The following is a 17,859-nucleotide window of genomic DNA, read 5'->3' as shown; positions in this document are numbered from 1 at the left end:
TTGTTCTCCATTACTACAAAAGGTTTAACTAATTTTTAAACATACATTACATGCTGAATTATACTTAAATAGAACATGCTCATTGTAGGAAATGCCAAAAATATGAAATGGAAATCAACTACAATTCTACTATGCTAATTGGTTATTTTTCAACGATAAAAGCTGATCCAGTTGGTTATTTAGAGGAAGAGAATTTAAGTAGCTCAATGACCCAGGCACAGTTTTTGCATGGTACTTTACTTAATTCTCCAATACGTAGTGTTCTATCACATGAAAATTCATAATGAAATTTTCCAATTGCCCTATATTAACATTTTTAGTTTTTTACATTGCCCCAAATCAGACCACTTAACACTTTTGATTATCCATTCCTGTTTTGATTTTGTTCTTTAATTATGATTATACTGTATATATAATTTTATACACAGACAAGCTTGCCCTTGAAAATATTTATTCTTCTGATTGTTTTTTGTTTTTTTTTTTCTATTTTTATTTTTTACTCTGGGAAACATTTCTAATTCAACATACTTTATAAAATCATATCTCACATTGCCTTTTAGGGGACTAAAGATTGTTATCTGTTATTGTACCAAAACACGAGAGAGCAAAAAGGGATTTGTCTATTTTAATGCCATGATTCATAAAAGGAAATGAAGGGGGGGAGTAAGCTGGCTGAAATTAATAAAATTTCCTATGATTTGATATATATGGAGGAAAGAGTAAGACCGTGATTGTGTTATTGCAATTACTGATCCTAACTCCTGAACACTAAAACCTTTCTAATAAAAAAATTACACATTTTTCTAAACAGATCTAATAGAGAAATACTTCCAACTACCAGATATGAATAAATATAATTCACAGTAACTAAGAATGCTTTTTTCTGCAGATGAAGTATATTTGTGCCCAACACTATTTATATGTGAGAGCCTATCATTCTCCAAAAATATGCACGAATTCACAGGAATATTGATGCAGAATATGTGAGAACAAGCTTGGATGCAGCTATCTGGGTGTCTTAATTAAATATAAACATTCTATTTTTAAGCAAATGGAGAATGGGGAAAATTAATAGGATTATATGTATGGCAGATAATGTATGCAGAAGAGCAGAACTCAGAACCAGGCACTTAAAAGTGTACTTGCAGAATCTTACCTAACAATTTTATCTAAGTTAAAACTTAAAAGGCACTGCAGTTGGCCCTCTGTGGCCAAAGGTTCCGCATCCTTGGATTCAATCAACCTCAGATTGAAAATACAGTATTCTCAAGATGCAGAACTCTTGGATGTGGAATGCCAACTTTTCATATCAGCAGGTTCCATAGGGCTGACTGCAGGATTTGGGCATCCACAGATTTTGCTATCTGCAGAGGGCTCAGGAAGCAATCCCTGAGAATACTGAGGGATGGCTATATTAGAAAACACAGGTGGTATTTATTAAACATGCACAGAATACATCTAGCAGGATGAAAAAATAGCAATAATGATTGCCTCTGGAGAAAGGAGGTCAGATTGGAGATTATGAAGGAGAGAGATTCATTTTTCACAGCATACCTTTTTATACTATTTAAACTTTTAAGGTATGTATGTTTTTAAAACTTAAATAAAAAGAAAAGCAGAGTTGAGTAACAAAATAAATAAGGTGACATTGAATTATAACCTAATAAATAACCAGTTATAACCCAATGAATATAAAATAAATATCCATGAATATATACTCATAGAAATAAATGTCTGAAAAAATAAACGAATAAACAAATCTCCTGTGCAGAAAAAATCCAAATAATTTATGTAGATATTGCCCCTTCAGGAAGGTAGAACATAACTCCCCACCCACTAAGTGTGGCTGTTTACAGTGACTTACAGTATTGGGGGTTTGAGGAGATGGGGGAGGATGTAGGGAAACCTGACAAACACTGCCTCACCCAGAGGACCAAGGTTAACATCATCAGTGATAAGTCACGACGACAGCATGCACTCTTGATAAGACGAGAACTGCACATCACCTCTGTGGTCTTCCTCCCCAAAATGCAAAAACCTAGGCTAACCATGAGAAAAACCCATAAGGAGGGCTTTCTACAACATACCTAACCAGTACTCCTCCAAACTGTCAAGGCCATCAAAAACAAGGAAAGTCTGAGAAACCGACAGTCTAGAGGAAAACATGATGACTAAATATCATGTGGTATAGGATCATGAGGCAGAAAAAAGACATCAGGTAAAAACTAAGGAAATCTGAGTAAAGTATGGACTTGAGTTAATAACAGTGTGTCAACACTGGCCCATTAGTTGTAACAAATATCCCACACTAATCTAAGATGTTAATAACTGGGGCAACCAAGTACAGGATATACGGAAACCCTCTACTATCTTTGCAACTTTTGTACAAATCTAAAATTATTCTAAAATTTAAAGTTTTATTTTTTTAAAAAGGCAAAAAGTTCAAAAAATATTATTTCTTAAAAGCTGGAATGCCAAAAAAGTTTAAAAAGATACTTGAATTAAAGAAAAAAACTAACATTTTGGGGAATATTAGTAATGACCCAAGGCAGAAATAAAACACTAAAATGTATAGCATCCCTAATTTATGTGGGAATGAACAAGGTTCTCTTCGGAAAATGAAATATGGAGAACTAAAGTAAAATATACACACAGCCATACACTGCACAATGTTTCAGTCCACGAGGAACCACATACATGACGGTGATCCCATAAGATTTTATGTAGTACCTTTTTAAATGTTTAGATATGGTTAGATACACAAATACCTACCGTTGTGCTACAGCTGATCACGGGATTCAGTACAGTCACAGGACATACAGGTTTGCAGCCTAGCAGCAATAGGCTATGCCATATAACCTAGGTGTATAGGAAACCATACCATCTAGGTTTGTATAAGTGTACTCTATGATGTTCACACAATTGGGACATCGCCAAATGACACATTTTTCAGAATGTATCCCCATCATTAAACAATGCATGACTGTACTTGAAAATTTTAATCTATTTTTGGCCAGACACGATGGCTCAAGCCTGTAATCCCAGCACTTTGGGAGGCCAAGGCGGTTGGATCACGAGGTCAGGAGATCGAGACCATCCTGGCTAACTTGGTGAAACCCCGTTTCTACTAAAAATACAAAAATTTAGCCGGGCGTGGTGGCGGTGGGCACCTGTAGTCCCAGCTTCTCGGGAGGCTGAGGCAGGAGAATGGCGTGAACCTGGGAGGCAGAGGTTGCAGTGAGCCAAGATTGTGCCACTGCGCTCCAGCCTGGGCGACAGAGCGAGACTCCAAATCAAAAAAAAAAAAAAGAAAGAAAAGAAAATTTTAATCTATTTTTAAATTTTGCAGTGATTTCATACCAACAGTTTAGCTCAGACTTAACAAAAATAAAATGAGAAAATGCCCCTCTTGCCATTAGCTGTTGCCAGAAAGGATTTGATACTGCCCCGAGCCTTATCGGTCAGGTCTTCAGTTATGTCCATGTGTCGGTGGATTTCTTCATGCATTTCTTCCAGAATTTTGCAGAGTTCTGCTTCCCAATAATCTTTGTCTAGACAGTCAATTAATTCTGCAAGCTGAACCTTTGCACTGTAGTACCAAATTTTATTTTCATTTTCATTTTCTGTATCTTCTTCTCTTTAAAAATGGGGGGAAATACATTATATGTTAGACATAATGCCACTTATCTGACAGCTGCATCTACCCAGTGAAAAGTTAAAACAAAGCTTATGCACTAAAACTCAATATATGTGCTCACAAGAGATCCCTGCAGGTCTTACTCAAACTTGATTTACTCTGAGAAAGGACATCTAAAAAACTTGATACAGAGAAAGATGACCTCAAAATTCAGAGCCACATGAGAGTACTTTGTGGAAGCCAGTTTCAGCTACATCTCAATCAACTTTAAGATCATCAATGTAACAATATGATGAGCCGAATGTATTTAGAATTATTTTATTTTAATTATTTATTGAGACGGAGTTTTGCTCTTGTCACCCAGGCTGGAGTGCAGTGGCGCGATCTCGGCTCGCCGCAACCTCCATCTCCCGGGTTCAAGCGATTCTCCTGCCTCAGCCTCCTGAGTTGCTGAGATTACAGGCATGCGCCACCACACCTGGCTAATTTTTTGTGTTTTTAATAGAGACGGGGTTTCTCCATGTTGGTCAGGCTGGTCTTGAACTCCTGACCTCAGGCGATCCACCCACTTTAGCCTCCCAAAGTGCTGGGATTACAGGCGTGAGCCACCGTGCCTGGCCCGCTTCACCCTCTTTACAGCAGCCTGTCACTCTCCCGATCTCAGTGATGATGCTCTAAGTGGTTAAGAATTGATTCTGGAGCCAGGCTGCCTGGGTTTGAACCCAGGTCTGTTTATTAGCTTGGTGATCCAGAGCAAGTTATTCTGCTCTGTGACTCAATTTCCTCCTTTTAAACTGGGGATTATGCTAGTTACCATTTCATAGGATTGTTGTGAAATTTAGGTGAGTGAATATATGGAACACTTCATCAGTGCCTAGCATATGTAGGAGTGTTGGCTGTTAACATGATTACTCTGTCCTTTAGTTATGTCCAGAACTCCTCTTTGTCCCTGGCTTTTTATATGTAGCACTCATTTTGTGACAAACCCAGGACCAAGTATGCTATTGTCCGCAGAACATGAAGATGATAGGAGGGAAGAAAGAGAATAGGCATAAAAAGGGCGGTGTATATAATTAATTCCTGAAAGATAATGCATACCATCGGTGCTAGAATTTACCAGAATCTGTGGTCCTTGAGGTGTGGAGATCAGGGAAAGCTACATGGATAAGCTAAAAGTTTACTTGGGTCTTAAAGAGTACACAATGAGGTATGGAAAGCCATTGAAAGTTTCCAAGCAAGAGAGATTAAATGATTAAAACAGGAAGATTATTTTATTTTATTTTGTTTTTTTTTGCTTTATGTTCAAGTATAGACATGCAAAGGATTATTTTAGAATCCATACGTAGAGTGCCCAAAAGGAAAAGCTTATTTCAGGGAGACAAAATAGAAAGGTCTAGCAAAATGTAGGAGTAAAGTGTGAAGGGGCTAAATCAGATCAGTTGTAATAAGAGTGGAAAGAAAAAGCCTAGGATGTTTCAACAGAGGGCAAAGCTTTGGTGTTACCTGGCATAGGGTTTCTTTCTACTTATTTATCGATAAAGATAAGCTTATGCCCATTTTTCTGTTGAATTATTTACCATTTTTGTGTTGATTTGTAGGAGTTTGTTTAGACACATAAGTGCTTTTGGATAAAATACTTACATTCAAAGTAATTAACTGGCATCGTCTGTCCAAGAGATGGGATGGATAGGAAGTTAAGCTTCCGGGAGATGCCTCATCATTTGTGCCAGTGGCCCCGCATTATTTCTTGATGAAGTGTGCAAACTGGGAAGCTGATAGCTCTGGAAATGAGAAAGCAGGTGTTATTTTCTGTTTCTGAATATCCCCGACAAGATTGCCATGATTCTTTTATTTATCCTGTTCATTCTTTGCGTGCCTATTCAAGGATATAAACTGTCTTTCTTTGCAGAAATTTCCAAGGAAACTATATTTCATACATTGATGGAAATGTATGGAAAGCATACAGTTGGACCGAGAAACTGTGAGTATATTCTCTCCAAATATGACAAAAAACTAACTGCATTGTAAGATCCTTCTTGGTCCAGAATTTTGAGGTCCATACCTCTGAGAAAAGATATTTCCCCTCCATGCCCCAAATCAGCCTCTGTGGATTGCAATCCTATGGTTATTTTAAAATTAAATTTGGTAGGCTCTCTCTAAAATAAGAAGCAATTTAAATTTATTTTTTATCATACAAATAATACATGGTTATATTCTTTTTTTTCCTCTTTTTTTTTTTTTTCAGAGACAAGGTCTTACTTTGTCCCCTGGGCTGGAGTGCAGTGGCATAATCACATCTCACTGCAGCCTTCACCTCCCAGGCACAAGTGATCCTCCCATCTCAGCCTCCCAAGCAGCTGGGACCACAGGTGCATGCCACCGCGCCCACCTAATTTTGTATTTTTTGTAGAGACGGGCTCTTCCTATGCTGCTTAGGCTGGTCTTGAGCTCCTGGGCTCAAGTGATCCTCCCACCTTGGCCTCCTAAAGTGCTCATATTATAGGCATGAGCCACCACCCCCAGCCCGTGATTCTATTTTTAATGTATAAAAATGCAATAACAGGTATAACAAAAACCCTCCTTGTGCCCTACTCCCTCATCCCTGAGGTAATGCTACTGTGTGTTTAGTATACATGCTTCCAGACTTTTCCCCATTTACCTACATACATATTTACATAAAGCAAAATAGATTTGTTGTGTGGTTTTTAAAATCTTTTTTCTTTTCATAAAGGGTAACATCTTGCAACTTGATTCTTTCACTTCATGGTATCACTTATATGATATTCTTTCACTTCATAATTTCCTTCCTAGGACTTAGAGGGTCACCCCATTCATTTAAACTCCTGCATAATCCATAGTATGGATGCATCATAGTTTATTTAATAATTTCCCCATTGATGAATGTTGAGCTTATGCTTCGTGGGCAAGTATTCCTGTAGCATAGATATCTAGAAATGGAAGAGTTGGGGTGAAGACTATGTAGATATAAAATTTTAATTGTCCTCAAAAATGTGCCAACTGACTGTATCGTCAGCAGAATATGACAGCATTCATTTCCCCACACCTTTTCACTGTTGGGAATTTGCCAACTTTTTGTTGAATTTATGGATGAATAAAAGGGATTCCATCCAAATTTGAATTTTTCTGATCACTCATGAATTTAATTAAATATCTTTATATGTTTATTGAACATTTGTGTTTCTTCTCTGAGTTTTCTATCCTTTGTTCATTTTCCTGTTGAATTGTTTTATCGTTTTCTTCCTGATTTATAGAAGGAATTAGTTGAGACACATAAATGATTTTGGAAAAAATGCTTACATTCAAAGTAACATTTTTCACAACAGTTTGTGTCACATCATTAGTTTGACTTATATAGACAAGACATACATAAGTTCTAAATTAAAAATCAAACAATGCCATGTGCAGTGGCTCACAGCTGTAACCCCAGCACCTCAAGAGTTCGAGGCAGGTGGATCACCTGAAGTCGGGAGTTTGAGACCAGCCTGGCCAATATGGTGAAACCCCATCTCTACTGAAAATACAAAAATTAGCCAGGCATGGTGGTGGGTGCCTATAATCCCATCTACTTGGGAAGCTGAGGCAGGAGAATTGCTTTATTTATTTTTTGAGACGGAATTTTGTTCTTGTTGCCCAGGCTGGAGTTCAATGGTGCGATCTTGGCTCACTGCAAGTTCCACCTCCCGGGTTCAAGGGATTCTCCTGCCTCAGCCTCCTGGGTAGCTGGAATTACAGGTGCCCGCCACCATGCCCAGCTAATTTTTCTATTTTTAGTAGAGACAGAGTTTCACCATGTTGGACAGGCTGGTCTCGAACTCATGACCTCAGGTGATTCATGTGCCTTGGCTTTCCAGAATGCTGGGATTACAGGCATGAGCCACCACGCCAGGCCAGGACTACATTTTAAAAGCAAGAAAGTCATTACAAAAGTCAGAGTAGTGGTTACCTACTAGGGTTAGAGAGAGGAATATGGTTGGAAAGGGGCACACTGGGGCTTCTGGGATGCTAGCAATAATCTTTTGTAACAATGTTTACATGGGTATCTGCTTTATAATTATTAAACTGAATATTTGGCCAGGTGAGGTGGCTCATGTCTGCAATCCCAACACTTTGGGTGGCAGAGACAGGAGGATCACTTGAGCCAGGAGTCTGAGACCAGTGTGGATAACAGAATGGACCCTGTCTCAGAAATTAAATTAAATTAAATTAAATTAAATATAAACAACATTTACGTTATGTGCACCTTATGCACATTGTAGTTCTCAAATTTTTTTGATGGGGGAAAAAAGTTGAATGGCTTCACTTGCAGCCCTGACATGGTCCCATGTGGGGCTTTTGTAATAAGGTTTGGGAAAAGAGAGGAGGAAATGGAGGTTCTGCTGATCTTGGTGCCACCCAGAGTTGGATTCTGAAAGGTATATTATGATCTAGAGAGGAGTCATTAAAGATACAATTTGGTGGGAAGAGTGGAGCAGTGTGCTTGTGTGTGTGTGCTTGCACGTGTGTGTGTGCTTGCTTGTGTGTGCTTGTGTTTGTGTGCTTGCTTGTGTGTGTGCATGTGTGTGTGCTTGCATGTGTGTGTGCTTGCAAGTGTGTGTGTGTGCTTGCCTGTGTGTGTGTGCTTGCCTATGTGTGTGTGTGCTTGCAAGTGTGTGTGTGTGCTTGCCTGTGTGTGTGTGCTTGCCTATGTGTGTGTGTGCTTGCCTGTGTGTGTGTGCTTCTGTGTGTGTCTGTGCTTGCATATGTGTGAGTGCTTGCAAGTGTGTGTGTGTGCTTGCCTGTGTGTGTGGTGGTGGTGGTGGAGAGGGATGGACACAAAAAGGAAAATGGAAGAAAAGGTTTGAACGAAACCAGAGCAGATCCCATCATCTTGAAATGACCATGACCCAGCTTTCCTCCACATGCAGGAGATAGTCCTGTGTAGCAAATAGTTGTAGTTTGCATTTTAACCTAGAAATAACTTTTTCATTTTCCAGAATTCTCAGTGAAAATTATTTGACTGAATTACATAAGGATTCATTTGAAGGCCTGCTATCCCTCCAGTATTTATAAGTTAGTTAATCATATTTTTGAGTTTTTAGTCATATTATCTTTAAAATGAATAAGAGGTTCAAATTAGATAATCTCTAAGATTTCTTCCAGCAATAAAATTCTGCAATTCTGTAAGTTTGTATAGGGTCTCAGCCCATCTCTAGCATTAGCTACATCCTATGCATTTTCAGTTTTTAAATTGTATAGACAAAATACAGACAGAAAAAATTTCACATGGTAAGAAGATCTGAGCAGTGACTGACACCCATATGAACCTTGTTTTATAAGGGTTTACATACCATCTTCTTCTATTCAGTCTACAGCCAGTAGATCAAATCTAACCTAAGGTCTATTTTTTAATAGCCTATTAAGAATGGTTTTTGCATTTCTAAAGGACTGTGAAAGAAAAAAGAAAGAGAAATATGCGAGAGAGATCATATGTGGCCCACAGAGCCTTAAAATATTTACTGTCTGACCTTCACAAAAAACGATTTGAAAAAGTTGGTTTAGTAGGATGAAAGGAATTAAAGTTAACTTCAGATTGTTGCCTAAAGGAGAAGAAAATATAGACCACCTACATTCATTTGAACATCATTAATCCAGAATTTTTTGGTAATTTAATCGCATTAAATTAACATTTAAATATTTGAAATCAGCTGAATTATAGAAATAATATTATCAAGAATATTAAGCTACCAAGAGAATAGACTAGTATTAAGGATTTCATTTCAGGAATTGTTATATTAAAACAGATGTTTAAAATGATGGTTAAGTGGTAGAGCTAGAAATGTTTACAGTAAGAAGCATATCAGAAATGCCCCTAACTCTTCACTAATTACACAGTAACTATCTCCCCAGCCCTGTTACCAAGAAAGGGATACCTGCATAGTATTTCTGTCTGTTTAGAGACAAGAAGATACTATGTTCAATTGCTATGAAAGCTTGATTCTTATCCTCTGTCCGCAGAGGTGTGTATGTCATTAATCCTTATTAGTGATGCTCTTTTGCAGACAGATTCTTTCAAATGTGAAAGGCTTAAGGAAAGTGGGTGTAAAGACCCTCAAGTGGATGCCAAAGTGCTACAGAGGCCATGAAGTAATAAAACTACATTTGCTTTAAAATAATCATTTTCCTACTACTCACTCCCCCAGCTTTTCATTTATTTATTTATTTATTTTTATTTATTATTTTTTTTTGAGACGGAATCTTGCTCTGTCACCCAGGCTGGAGTGCTGTGGTGCGATCTCGGCTCACCGCAAGCTCTGCCTCCCTGGTTCACTCCATTCTCCTGCCTCAGCCTCCCGAGTAGCTGGAACTACAGGCACACGCCGCCACGCCCAGCTAATTTATTGTATTTTTAGTAGAGACGGGGTTTCACCTTGTTAGCCAGGATGGTCTCCATATCCTGACCTTGTAATCCACCCGCCTCAGCCTCCCAAAGTGCTGGGATTACAGGCATGAGCCACTGCGCCCGGCCAGCTATTCATTTGTTTTACAAATATTTTAATTTACTTTATTTCCATGTGTCAGTTTTAAACATGGTGGGCAATGCAGATGAGCAAGACCTAGTCCATGCTTTCAAGGAGTTTATGCTCAGAAAAAATGGGATGAACAATAACTACATTAAGAAGAAGAAATGGATGTGGGCACTAGGAGGGGTAAATTGTTTCTGAAGCATAGAAGAGGGGAAAATGACTTCAGTTTGGACCCAGGAAGCTGTTACTAGAACAATCCCATTTGAATAGGACTTTGAAGGGCCATTGTGTAGCATCGGACAGACATCTTGGGGACAATATTCTAAACTTGCAAAAGGGAAATGGGAGAAGGGCAAAACACAGGAAAGTATTCGAGGAATGCCATGAGTACCTGTAGATTACAAGGAGGGAGAGTAGGAAATTGGAGCCAGATCTTCTAGGGCTTTGAATGCCAAGCTGAGGAGCCATGATGGGGAACCATGTTATCACAGCAGTGCTGTAAGATGGATCTGCATCACAGTCATTGAGAGGGCACGTTAGAACTCAGTTCTGGACTCCGTCCTCATAGTTATTGATTCAGTTGGTCTAGAGTGGGACCAAGAATTTGCATCCTCAATAATTTCCCAGGAGGTGCTGGTCTTTGCAAGCCACTTCTGGAGAGTTTATATGATGACTGTGTGGAGGATAGTTTAGGAAGGGAGAGACTAGAGATGGAGACATCAGCCAGACAACGTTACACCATCCAGGTAAAGAGGGAGGGAAAAGCCCCATCTCTGTATAACTGAAGAAATTGCTTTCATGAAATATTAAAGCAATATAAAACCAAAAATGAATTTCTATTAATATGATAGAAATTAATTGTATTAATATGATTTGAATATTAGTTCAAAGTTATGTATTAAGTAAAGGGGTAACTTCCTTTCAAATGCTGTTGAAAGGATGTCTTTTATTCTGATACTGAACTGGCTTAGGAAAACAAAGCTAAACTAGGAAGGTGTATAAATGTGAGGCTATTCGTTTTAATATTAGAAACTATATATAGAGATAAAAGCTTTGAGCTCATAATCTAGGATTTGATGAGACTACAAAAGGGCATCTAATCAAGTCTACTGCTCTCAGGAAAAATTAATTCCAAAGTCTATTAAGTTGTATATTTTGTTTATTAAAAGTATGAAGGTGAGACTCTAGGAGAGGTACAGGCAGGGTTAGGAGCTCTGGAAAGTTCAAATACAGGTCCAAATGTTTAGAGTCGAGATGAAAAATGTGTATTCAATATTATTCTAAACTCTTGCTGTTATTCATACCAGTCAACACTGATAACTTATCAAGGCAATATTTTCCTTTTATTTTTCCTAGAGATTTATCCTGCAATAAAATACGATATATTGAAAGACATACATTTGAATCACTACCATTTTTGCAGTATATGTAAGTTACAAATATAACTTTATTACATTTGGAATTTTTATAAAACTTAATTATAAACCTCTTTGCTATTCATTTTGAAATATGATTAAAATTTGACCAGTAGAAAGGTACTAAAATTATATAGCAAGTCCTTCTTGTCTCTAGCAAAGATTAGTGTGAGAATTATTACACAGATCATAGTGAATCATCAGAGAGCAGTGGTTCTCAACTGGTGTGATTTTGTACTCAGGTGATATTTGGTAATGTCCAGAGACACTTTTGCTTGACAAAACTGTGGTTGTGCTCCTGGCATCTGGTGGGCAGAGGCCAGAGATGCTGCTAAACATCCTGCAGAGTATAAGACAAACCCCCACGGCAAAGAGTTATATAGTCCAAAATGTCGATGGTACTGAAGTTGTGAAATCCTGTTCTAGAGAAATGAAGATCACTTAACACAGGTATTTACTGAGCGTTCACTGTTTTGTAGCTAATGTATCACGTGTGCAATATTAAAGTATAAATCATAAGCCAGTATCTTCCACAGTGAGATTGCCTTAGTGCACAGAGAAAGGATTGAGGTGATGTTCCATCCTATGTAAATTAGACTCACAGCAAATGATAAATGTTCTGAAATAATTTTTTTTTCCTTTGGCTTATGTCTTTTTTTGTAGAAATCTGGGCTGCAATTTAATTACAGAACTGAGCCTTGGAACATTTCAGGCCTGGCACGGAATGCAGTTTTTACACAACTTGTAAGTGAAATAGAAGATGAATACGTGTAAACAACTATTTTGTATAAAAACTCATACAATTATTGGTTAGCTGGGTATAAGCCCATTATGAACTCTGAAAAGTGTGTCTTAAGATCCATTCGTTTTTCTCAAATGGGGAAACTAAGGTACAAAGCGGCCAAGAGACTTACACAGCTTATATATGACCTGCTCTGCTTATCCTAGTTCTGACCTATGGCATGGGCAAGAAAAGCCATCAAACAAGTGACCCTCAAATTAGCCTTGTTGCTGGGCGGGTGGCTCAGGCCTGTAATCCCAGAACTTTAGGAGCTGAGGGGGGCGGATCACCTGAGGTCAGGAGTTCAACACCAGCTTGGCCAACATAGTGAATCCCCATCCCTACTGAAAATACAAAAAAATTTGCTGGGCGTAGTGATGCAGTTTTTTGCTCCCTGGAGGACTTTGTGTTAAGCTTTCTTCCTTGCAGCTAAATGTTGCAGACATTTAAGCAGTTTGAAACTCTGCATATGAGCAGGAATCAAAGTTAAATCCAAAGTGTAGGGCTGGGCGTAGTGGCTCATGCCTATAATCCCAGCACCTTGGGAGGATCACTTGAGGTCAGGAGTTTGAGACCAGCCTGGCCAACATGGCGAAACCCCGTCTCTACTAACGATACAAAAATTAGCAGGTCGTGGTGGCAGGCACCTGTGATCCCAGCTATCGGGAGGCTGAGGGTCGAGAATGGCTTGAACTCCAGAGGTGGAAGTTGCAGTGAGCCGAGATTGTGCCACTGCACTCCAACCTCCCCTCCAGGCTGGTCTCGAACTCCTGTGACCTCAGGTGATCTGCCCACCTTAGCCTCCCAAAGTGCTGGGATTACAGGCTTGAGCCACCGCACCCGGCCTTGTGGATTTTTTTTTTAGAGACTACAGGTGTAAGCCATTGTGCCTGGCTTTTTTTTTTTTTTTTTTTTTTTTTGGTAGAGACAGGGTCTTGCTATGTTGCCCAGGCTGGTCTCAAACTCTTGGCCTAAAGGGACCCTCCTACCTTGAGCTCCTGAGTGGCTGCGATTACAGACTCCGGACACTGCACCCGGCTCCAGGTGGGTTTTATTACCATCTTCATTTTATAAATGAGGAAAGGGGCTCAGAGAAGTTAAGTAACATGCCCAATGTCACACAGCTAATAACTGTGAAGCTGGGATTTGAACCCAGGTTCTTGGATTCGAGAGCCTAAGATCCTGAGTTCAGGTAAGTAATACAATGTCAGCTGGCTGTAAGACAGATGATGGTAAATAACAGGGACCACTGGGCCTGGCAAGGTGGCTCACACCTGTAATCCCAGCACTTTGGGAGGCAGAGGTAGGCGGATCACCTGAGGTCAGGAGTTTGAGACAAGCCTGGCCAACATGGTAAAACCCCATCTCTATAAAAACACAAAAATTAGCCAGGTGTGGTGGCATGTGCCTGTGGTCCCAGCTACTTGGGAGGCTGAGGTGGGAGAAATCGCTTGAACCCAAGAGGCGGAGGTTGCGGTGAGATCACACCACTATGCTCTAGCCTGGGTGACAGAGTGAGACTCCATCTTAAGAAAAAAGAAAGGCCGGGGGCGGTGGCTCACGCCTGTAATCCCAGCACTTTGGGAGTCCAAGGCGGGCGGATCACGAGGTCAGGAGATTGAGACCATCCTGGCTAACACAGTGAAACCCTGTCTCTACTAAAAATACAAAAAATTAGCCGGGCATGGTGGCGGGCGCCTGCAGTCTCAGCTACTCAGGAGGCCGAGGCAGGAGAATGGCGTGAACCCGGGAGGCGGAGCTTGCAGTGAGCCGAGATCAGGCCACTGCACTCCAGCCTCAGCGACAGAGCTAGACTCCGTCTCAAAAAAAAAAAAAAAAAAAAAAAAGGCCGGCGCGGTGGCTCATGCCTGTAGTCCCAGCGCTTTGGGAGACCGAGGCAGGTGGATCACCTGAGGTCAGGAGTTCTAGACCAGCCTGGCCAACATGGTGAAACCCCGTCTCTACTAAAAATACAAAAATTAGCTGGGCGTGGTGGCATGCGCCGGTAATCCCAGCTACTCAGGAAGCTGCTTGAACCCAGGAGGTGGAGGTTGCAGTGAGCCGAGATTGCACCACTGCACTCCAGCCTGGGCTACAGAGCAAGACTCTGCCTCAAAAGAAAAAATACAAATAAAATAAAGAGAACAGCCAGTGGGAAGTCCCAGAAATGGGCACACACTGGGTGTGTCTGGGGTGCAGTGAGGGGCCCCTGTGGCTGAGGCGAAAGTCTAGGGATTATTGCACCCACTTTGCACGTGTGACCTTCCACAGTTCTTCACACAGCGACTCCTTCACAACAGTCTCATGACATAGGTTTTTATAATTCTCCTCTCTTGACGGGTAGGGAAACTGAGGCTCAGGGTGGCTAACTGAGCCACAGCCAGAAAGCAATGGAGCTCCAATCTGAATCCAGGCAGCCTGCCCCCACTGCCGAACTCCAAAGGAAACACAGTAGGGAGCCAATGCCAGCAGGCTGGGAGGGCTGCCTGGAGGAGGTGGATGTCACCAGAACCTGTGGGAGGACCCTGAGGAGCAGGGAGGGAGGGAGCTGCCGCTGACCAAGGCACAAAAACATGTTCCTGGGGCAGTTCTTGGAAGGCAGATTTCCAGGCGCCTGCCCCCAATGTGGCCCTGCCTCCCGCTCCCCCAGGCCCCCTCTTCCTAGAGGGAGGGCGGCAAGAGGCGCTTCATTAGCGCCTCTGAGGCCCCAGCAGCCCCGAGGGGATGAAAAGCGCCTAGGAGGGGAGCCGTCCTCATTTTGGCACACCTGGCAGGGGGCCCAGGACCACTGAAAGGGATTCAGCTGGGGCCGGCTGGGCAGGCCCGGTCATTGTTCCGGCTAGATCCGCGGTCAGGGCTTCAAATGCAAAACCGGGCTGGGGATGGGGTGGGGGCGCCGGTGGCCTCTGCTCTTCCTTTAATAGACCAAAGGACTCTGGCGGCTTAGCTCTTTTTCCTAATTTAAAGATATTTTCAGGCGTTTGGGAGCTCCCCTAGGCGAAGCAGGAAGGCTGGGAAGTGGGGGGCCTTGAAATTCTCTTCGTGGTTGCCCGCGGAGGATGGAGGAAAAGGCGGGGAGGAGGGGGGCTGAGGTTGGTCTGGGGTCACGGGTGGGGCGCTGCCCCCCCGTGTTGAGTTCTCGGCTGTCCTCTGCCCCAGTTTCCCTCTCTGGAAACTCTGTCTGGTTTCTGGAACCGTCCCCAGCAGGTAGGACGGATGCAGGTGTGCCCAAACGGCAGTTTCTTCCTAAGGAGCTCTTTCGGGTCAACTCTGGAGGCCTTGACTTGGGAGGCAGATGGAGGAGGCTTGATCCCTCTCAGCATGGCAGCCGTGGTGCCAAGGCAGGAAGGAGGGTAGGGAGGCAAGCCAATGGGGTGCAGCGGCCTCCATGCCAGAAAATGGGGGCTCCCTGGATCATCTCCTCGGCGGGAGGGTGTACGGGGACCAAGAGAGAGAACCAAGGGGCCCCGCTGGAGGGGGGCTTGGAGCCTAGGGACAGTTGAGGGGGTACTGTCTTCCCCTCTCTCCTGGTCACGCTGCCCAGTCGGCCTTTTTCTCCCCTTTCCCTCCCCTTTTGCCCCCACCCCCGCCTGCCCCCCTCCAGGCCCCAGCGCCCCCCACTCCCAACCCCCCGGCCTGCTCTCCTGCCTCCCCCGTGCCACCTCCTTGGGCTTCGTTCCTCTTCCCTCCTCCGAGTTCCCAGCCATCCCCTCTCTCCTCCTCCCCAGCCCGCCCTCCTCCCTCTGACTGGCTCCCGCCTCCCCACCGCTCTCTCACCCTCCCAGCCCCCTCCTCCCTCCCTCCCTCTCTCCCTTCCCTTCCTTTATCCCGGCCGCTCTTCCCACCTTCCCCAGCCGGAGAGAGGGGGCCGCGCTCCCCCCAGCCCCTCCCCCTCCCTCCCTGGGGCCGCCGCCATCTTGCAGGATGCTGGGGAGGGAGCCGCGTGCAGGCAATGGGAACAATGCATCTTTTATGAAGCGATCCCCTCTCCTTGCCTGGAAACCTCGCATTAATGCGGCAATGATTTCCCTCGTAATAGAGGGGGCTCTCCCGCGCCCCCAACCCGAGGGGCGCAAGAAGGGAGGGGGCCAGGTTCGGGGGTGAGGAGTGAAAAGTGGAGGGTGATGGAGTCATCGCTCCGGGCTCCCAGCTCTGCAGCCGGCGCCCTCCCCGCGCCCAGCCTGGAGACCCCCACCCCACCCCGCAGGCGGAGGTTCCCAGAGTGGGGGAGGGGTTCCGGCGCGAGGCCCTCTAGTAACTTCTGGGCTGAGACCCAGCCACAGAGTCCCGGCCGATGGGACCCCCACCTCCCTATTCTCAGCCCTGGCATTGGCCAGAAAGGGCGCAGGAGACCCTCGGCTGCCCCTGGGGCCCTCTGTCTGCGGCCAGGTCCTCTGGGACACGTGTCCCCCCCTCCCCCCAGAACCCTCAGAGGTTCCCCATCTCCTCTAAGCCCTGTTTCCTTCCCCTCTTCTCTTCCATCTTGCCGCCTCACTCCCATCCATACAGCTCCTGCCTCCCTCGTCCTCTCCTGGCTCCCCCTTTCCCCTTCCCTGCTGCCTGCCCCCTCCCTCCACACCCCCTTCCCTGCGTGCTAATGGCCCGGTGGCAGGCGGCTCCGTGGCTGTTTCTGGGGGAGGCGGGTTTGCAGCCAGGGGAGATGTTGGAGCGGTTTGGGGAGGGGGAGGAAGAAAAATTATACATACGTAAATCTGGGATAATGACGGTGCTGCTAATGGGGCGGGCGGCGGCAGTTCCCCCAACAAACACACACCCCATCACACACACTCAGGGACCAACCTGGCTTCCTGACGCGTTTGAGGGTCCGTGGGCCCCGATCATCTCCTTGACTGGCCCTGAACCATCCCTGCTGCAGATATGGGGTCCATGCTCATTTGTGACATCAATGAAACATCCCCCTCCAGCCCCCCAATTCAATTTGCGGCTTGCCACTTTGCTTGCCCTGTGGCCTAGGGGTGAGTAGTTACCCCAGCAGGACAGGTGTGTTCACTTGGGTCTTTTACCCCACCACCAGCCTGGACCCCCACTCCTCTAGGTTTTCTGAGGTCACACCACCCACCACATGACATCTTTTGCATAACTGAAGGAAGGTCAGACGGATTTTCTTACCCTTTCTCCATTTCATAGCTGTGTGACCTTAGGCAAGTTAACCTCTCTGAGATTCAGTTATCTCTACTTGTAATTTGGGAATAATTATGTTCAAAGAACCTGAGGCTGAGGTGGGAGGATCACTTGAGGCAAGGAGTTGGAGACCAGCCTGGGCAACATAGCCAAACCCCTGTCTCAAATTAAAAAAAAAAAACTTTTTGAAAAAATAAGTCAAGTTAAGGGCCAGGCACAGTGGCTCACACCTGTAATCCCAGCACTTTGGGAGGCCAAGGCAGGTGGATCACTTGAGGTCAGGAGTTCAAGACCAGCCTGGCCAACATGGTGAAACCCTGTCTCTACTAAAAAAAAAAAGTACAAAAATTAGCCGGTATG

General features: G+C 43.7%; 2 long non-coding RNA genes across 2 annotated transcripts, besides 33 other annotated features; one reads left to right on the top strand and one right to left on the bottom strand.

Moving 5' to 3' along the window:
- Positions 1–218: 218 nt before the first annotated feature.
- VILMIR (virus inducible lncRNA modulator of interferon response) lies at positions 219–17,445 on the bottom strand. The gene is made up of 3 exons (NR_199605.1): positions 17,158–17,445; positions 5,279–5,418; positions 219–3,637 (listed from the first exon to the last, which is right to left on the bottom strand). It is a non-coding gene; the product is annotated as a virus inducible lncRNA modulator of interferon response (long non-coding RNA).
- Positions 4,632–4,740: a non allelic homologous recombination region, noted in NCBI's record as "sub-region N2603', recombines with sub-region N2603 within the NF1-REPb PRS3 recombination region". NCBI's record gives the evidence for it as "EXISTENCE:nucleotide sequencing assay evidence [ECO:0000219][PMID:22045503]".
- Positions 4,632–5,694: a biological region, named in NCBI's record as "NF1-REPc PRS3 recombination region". NCBI's record gives its function as "recombination_partner: LOC108783647".
- Positions 4,742–5,284: a non allelic homologous recombination region, noted in NCBI's record as "sub-region D0910711', recombines with sub-region D0910711 within the NF1-REPb PRS3 recombination region". NCBI's record gives the evidence for it as "EXISTENCE:nucleotide sequencing assay evidence [ECO:0000219][PMID:22045503]".
- Positions 5,210–5,284: a non allelic homologous recombination region, noted in NCBI's record as "sub-region GUE', recombines with sub-region GUE within the NF1-REPb PRS3 recombination region". NCBI's record gives the evidence for it as "EXISTENCE:nucleotide sequencing assay evidence [ECO:0000219][PMID:22045503]".
- Positions 5,370–5,375: a nucleotide motif, noted in NCBI's record as "nucleotide motif; CGGGGC motif, overrepresented near gene conversions and micro-deletions and micro-insertions". NCBI's record gives the evidence for it as "COORDINATES:motif similarity evidence [ECO:0000028][PMID:22045503, PMID:19431182, PMID:16086312]".
- Positions 5,511–5,541: a non allelic homologous recombination region, noted in NCBI's record as "sub-region D0710202', recombines with sub-region D0710202 within the NF1-REPb PRS3 recombination region". NCBI's record gives the evidence for it as "EXISTENCE:nucleotide sequencing assay evidence [ECO:0000219][PMID:22045503]".
- Positions 5,544–5,661: a non allelic homologous recombination region, noted in NCBI's record as "sub-region R85918', recombines with sub-region R85918 within the NF1-REPb PRS3 recombination region". NCBI's record gives the evidence for it as "EXISTENCE:nucleotide sequencing assay evidence [ECO:0000219][PMID:22045503]".
- Positions 5,663–5,694: a non allelic homologous recombination region, noted in NCBI's record as "sub-region R53520', recombines with sub-region R53520 within the NF1-REPb PRS3 recombination region". NCBI's record gives the evidence for it as "EXISTENCE:nucleotide sequencing assay evidence [ECO:0000219][PMID:22045503]".
- LOC102724625 (uncharacterized) lies at positions 8,695–12,470 on the top strand. The gene is made up of 3 exons (XR_002958140.2): positions 8,695–9,781; positions 11,518–11,589; positions 12,240–12,470. It is a non-coding gene; the product is annotated as an uncharacterized LOC102724625 (long non-coding RNA).
- Positions 12,237–17,859: part of a non allelic homologous recombination region, noted in NCBI's record as "NF1REP-M PRS2 recombines with NF1REP-P1 PRS2", that runs on past the window's edge. NCBI's record gives the evidence for it as "EXISTENCE:nucleotide sequencing assay evidence [ECO:0000219][PMID:15236313]".
- Positions 13,149–13,161: a nucleotide motif, noted in NCBI's record as "nucleotide motif; similarity to the predicted 13-mer PRDM9 A binding motif (LD hotspot motif), CCNCCNTNNCCNC".
- Positions 14,059–14,084: a non allelic homologous recombination region, noted in NCBI's record as "sub-region SER13', recombines with sub-region SER13 within the NF1REP-P PRS2 recombination region". NCBI's record gives the evidence for it as "EXISTENCE:nucleotide sequencing assay evidence [ECO:0000219][PMID:26614388]".
- Positions 14,084–14,466: a non allelic homologous recombination region, noted in NCBI's record as "sub-region SER12', recombines with sub-region SER12 within the NF1REP-P PRS2 recombination region". NCBI's record gives the evidence for it as "EXISTENCE:nucleotide sequencing assay evidence [ECO:0000219][PMID:26614388]".
- Positions 14,476–14,628: a non allelic homologous recombination region, noted in NCBI's record as "sub-region SER11', recombines with sub-region SER11 within the NF1REP-P PRS2 recombination region". NCBI's record gives the evidence for it as "EXISTENCE:nucleotide sequencing assay evidence [ECO:0000219][PMID:26614388]".
- Positions 14,663–15,183: an enhancer, noted in NCBI's record as "H3K27ac-H3K4me1 hESC enhancer chr17:30412316-30412836 (GRCh37/hg19 assembly coordinates)". NCBI's record gives its function as "activates a minimal SCP1, AML or CMV promoter by ChIP-STARR-seq in naive H9 embryonic stem cells {active_cell/tissue: H9 hESC(naive)}" and the evidence as "EXISTENCE:reporter gene assay evidence [ECO:0000049][PMID:30033119]".
- Positions 14,697–14,712: a nucleotide motif, noted in NCBI's record as "nucleotide motif; similarity to the predicted 16-mer PRDM9 C-type binding motif, CCNCNNTNNNCNTNNC". NCBI's record gives the evidence for it as "COORDINATES:motif similarity evidence [ECO:0000028][PMID:21750151, PMID:26614388]".
- Positions 14,700–14,797: a non allelic homologous recombination region, noted in NCBI's record as "sub-region SER10', recombines with sub-region SER10 within the NF1REP-P PRS2 recombination region". NCBI's record gives the evidence for it as "EXISTENCE:nucleotide sequencing assay evidence [ECO:0000219][PMID:26614388]".
- Positions 14,882–15,308: a non allelic homologous recombination region, noted in NCBI's record as "sub-region SER9', recombines with sub-region SER9 within the NF1REP-P PRS2 recombination region". NCBI's record gives the evidence for it as "EXISTENCE:nucleotide sequencing assay evidence [ECO:0000219][PMID:26614388]".
- Positions 15,308–15,422: a non allelic homologous recombination region, noted in NCBI's record as "sub-region SER8', recombines with sub-region SER8 within the NF1REP-P PRS2 recombination region". NCBI's record gives the evidence for it as "EXISTENCE:nucleotide sequencing assay evidence [ECO:0000219][PMID:26614388]".
- Positions 15,420–15,432: a nucleotide motif, noted in NCBI's record as "nucleotide motif; similarity to the predicted 13-mer PRDM9 A binding motif (LD hotspot motif), CCNCCNTNNCCNC". NCBI's record gives the evidence for it as "COORDINATES:motif similarity evidence [ECO:0000028][PMID:19165926, PMID:26614388]".
- Positions 15,422–16,159: a non allelic homologous recombination region, noted in NCBI's record as "sub-region SER7', recombines with sub-region SER7 within the NF1REP-P PRS2 recombination region". NCBI's record gives the evidence for it as "EXISTENCE:nucleotide sequencing assay evidence [ECO:0000219][PMID:26614388]".
- Positions 15,511–15,526: a nucleotide motif, noted in NCBI's record as "nucleotide motif; similarity to the predicted 16-mer PRDM9 C-type binding motif, CCNCNNTNNNCNTNNC". NCBI's record gives the evidence for it as "COORDINATES:motif similarity evidence [ECO:0000028][PMID:21750151, PMID:26614388]".
- Positions 15,644–15,659: a nucleotide motif, noted in NCBI's record as "nucleotide motif; similarity to the predicted 16-mer PRDM9 C-type binding motif, CCNCNNTNNNCNTNNC". NCBI's record gives the evidence for it as "COORDINATES:motif similarity evidence [ECO:0000028][PMID:21750151, PMID:26614388]".
- Positions 15,707–15,719: a nucleotide motif, noted in NCBI's record as "nucleotide motif; similarity to the predicted 13-mer PRDM9 A binding motif (LD hotspot motif), CCNCCNTNNCCNC". NCBI's record gives the evidence for it as "COORDINATES:motif similarity evidence [ECO:0000028][PMID:19165926, PMID:26614388]".
- Positions 16,067–16,082: a nucleotide motif, noted in NCBI's record as "nucleotide motif; similarity to the predicted 16-mer PRDM9 C-type binding motif, CCNCNNTNNNCNTNNC". NCBI's record gives the evidence for it as "COORDINATES:motif similarity evidence [ECO:0000028][PMID:21750151, PMID:26614388]".
- Positions 16,163–16,403: a non allelic homologous recombination region, noted in NCBI's record as "sub-region SER6', recombines with sub-region SER6 within the NF1REP-P PRS2 recombination region". NCBI's record gives the evidence for it as "EXISTENCE:nucleotide sequencing assay evidence [ECO:0000219][PMID:26614388]".
- Positions 16,227–16,747: an enhancer, noted in NCBI's record as "H3K27ac hESC enhancer chr17:30410752-30411272 (GRCh37/hg19 assembly coordinates)". NCBI's record gives its function as "activates a minimal SCP1, AML or CMV promoter by ChIP-STARR-seq in primed H9 embryonic stem cells {active_cell/tissue: H9 hESC(primed)}" and the evidence as "EXISTENCE:reporter gene assay evidence [ECO:0000049][PMID:30033119]".
- Positions 16,402–16,731: a non allelic homologous recombination region, noted in NCBI's record as "sub-region SER5', recombines with sub-region SER5 within the NF1REP-P PRS2 recombination region". NCBI's record gives the evidence for it as "EXISTENCE:nucleotide sequencing assay evidence [ECO:0000219][PMID:26614388]".
- Positions 16,732–17,405: a non allelic homologous recombination region, noted in NCBI's record as "sub-region SER4', recombines with sub-region SER4 within the NF1REP-P PRS2 recombination region". NCBI's record gives the evidence for it as "EXISTENCE:nucleotide sequencing assay evidence [ECO:0000219][PMID:26614388]".
- Positions 16,766–16,778: a nucleotide motif, noted in NCBI's record as "nucleotide motif; similarity to the predicted 13-mer PRDM9 A binding motif (LD hotspot motif), CCNCCNTNNCCNC". NCBI's record gives the evidence for it as "COORDINATES:motif similarity evidence [ECO:0000028][PMID:19165926, PMID:26614388]".
- Positions 16,873–16,888: a nucleotide motif, noted in NCBI's record as "nucleotide motif; similarity to the predicted 16-mer PRDM9 C-type binding motif, CCNCNNTNNNCNTNNC". NCBI's record gives the evidence for it as "COORDINATES:motif similarity evidence [ECO:0000028][PMID:21750151, PMID:26614388]".
- Positions 16,896–16,911: a nucleotide motif, noted in NCBI's record as "nucleotide motif; similarity to the predicted 16-mer PRDM9 C-type binding motif, CCNCNNTNNNCNTNNC". NCBI's record gives the evidence for it as "COORDINATES:motif similarity evidence [ECO:0000028][PMID:21750151, PMID:26614388]".
- Positions 17,547–17,611: a non allelic homologous recombination region, noted in NCBI's record as "sub-region SER3', recombines with sub-region SER3 within the NF1REP-P PRS2 recombination region". NCBI's record gives the evidence for it as "EXISTENCE:nucleotide sequencing assay evidence [ECO:0000219][PMID:26614388]".
- Positions 17,779–17,859: part of a non allelic homologous recombination region, noted in NCBI's record as "sub-region SER2', recombines with sub-region SER2 within the NF1REP-P PRS2 recombination region", that runs on past the window's edge. NCBI's record gives the evidence for it as "EXISTENCE:nucleotide sequencing assay evidence [ECO:0000219][PMID:26614388]".

This window comes from Homo sapiens, chromosome 17 (assembly GCF_000001405.40).
Source record: "Homo sapiens chromosome 17, GRCh38.p14 Primary Assembly".
Lineage (NCBI taxonomy): Eukaryota > Metazoa > Chordata > Mammalia > Primates > Hominidae > Homo > Homo sapiens.
Note: the sequence above shows the minus strand (reverse complement) of the source record. Positions and strands in the feature narration are given on the sequence as shown.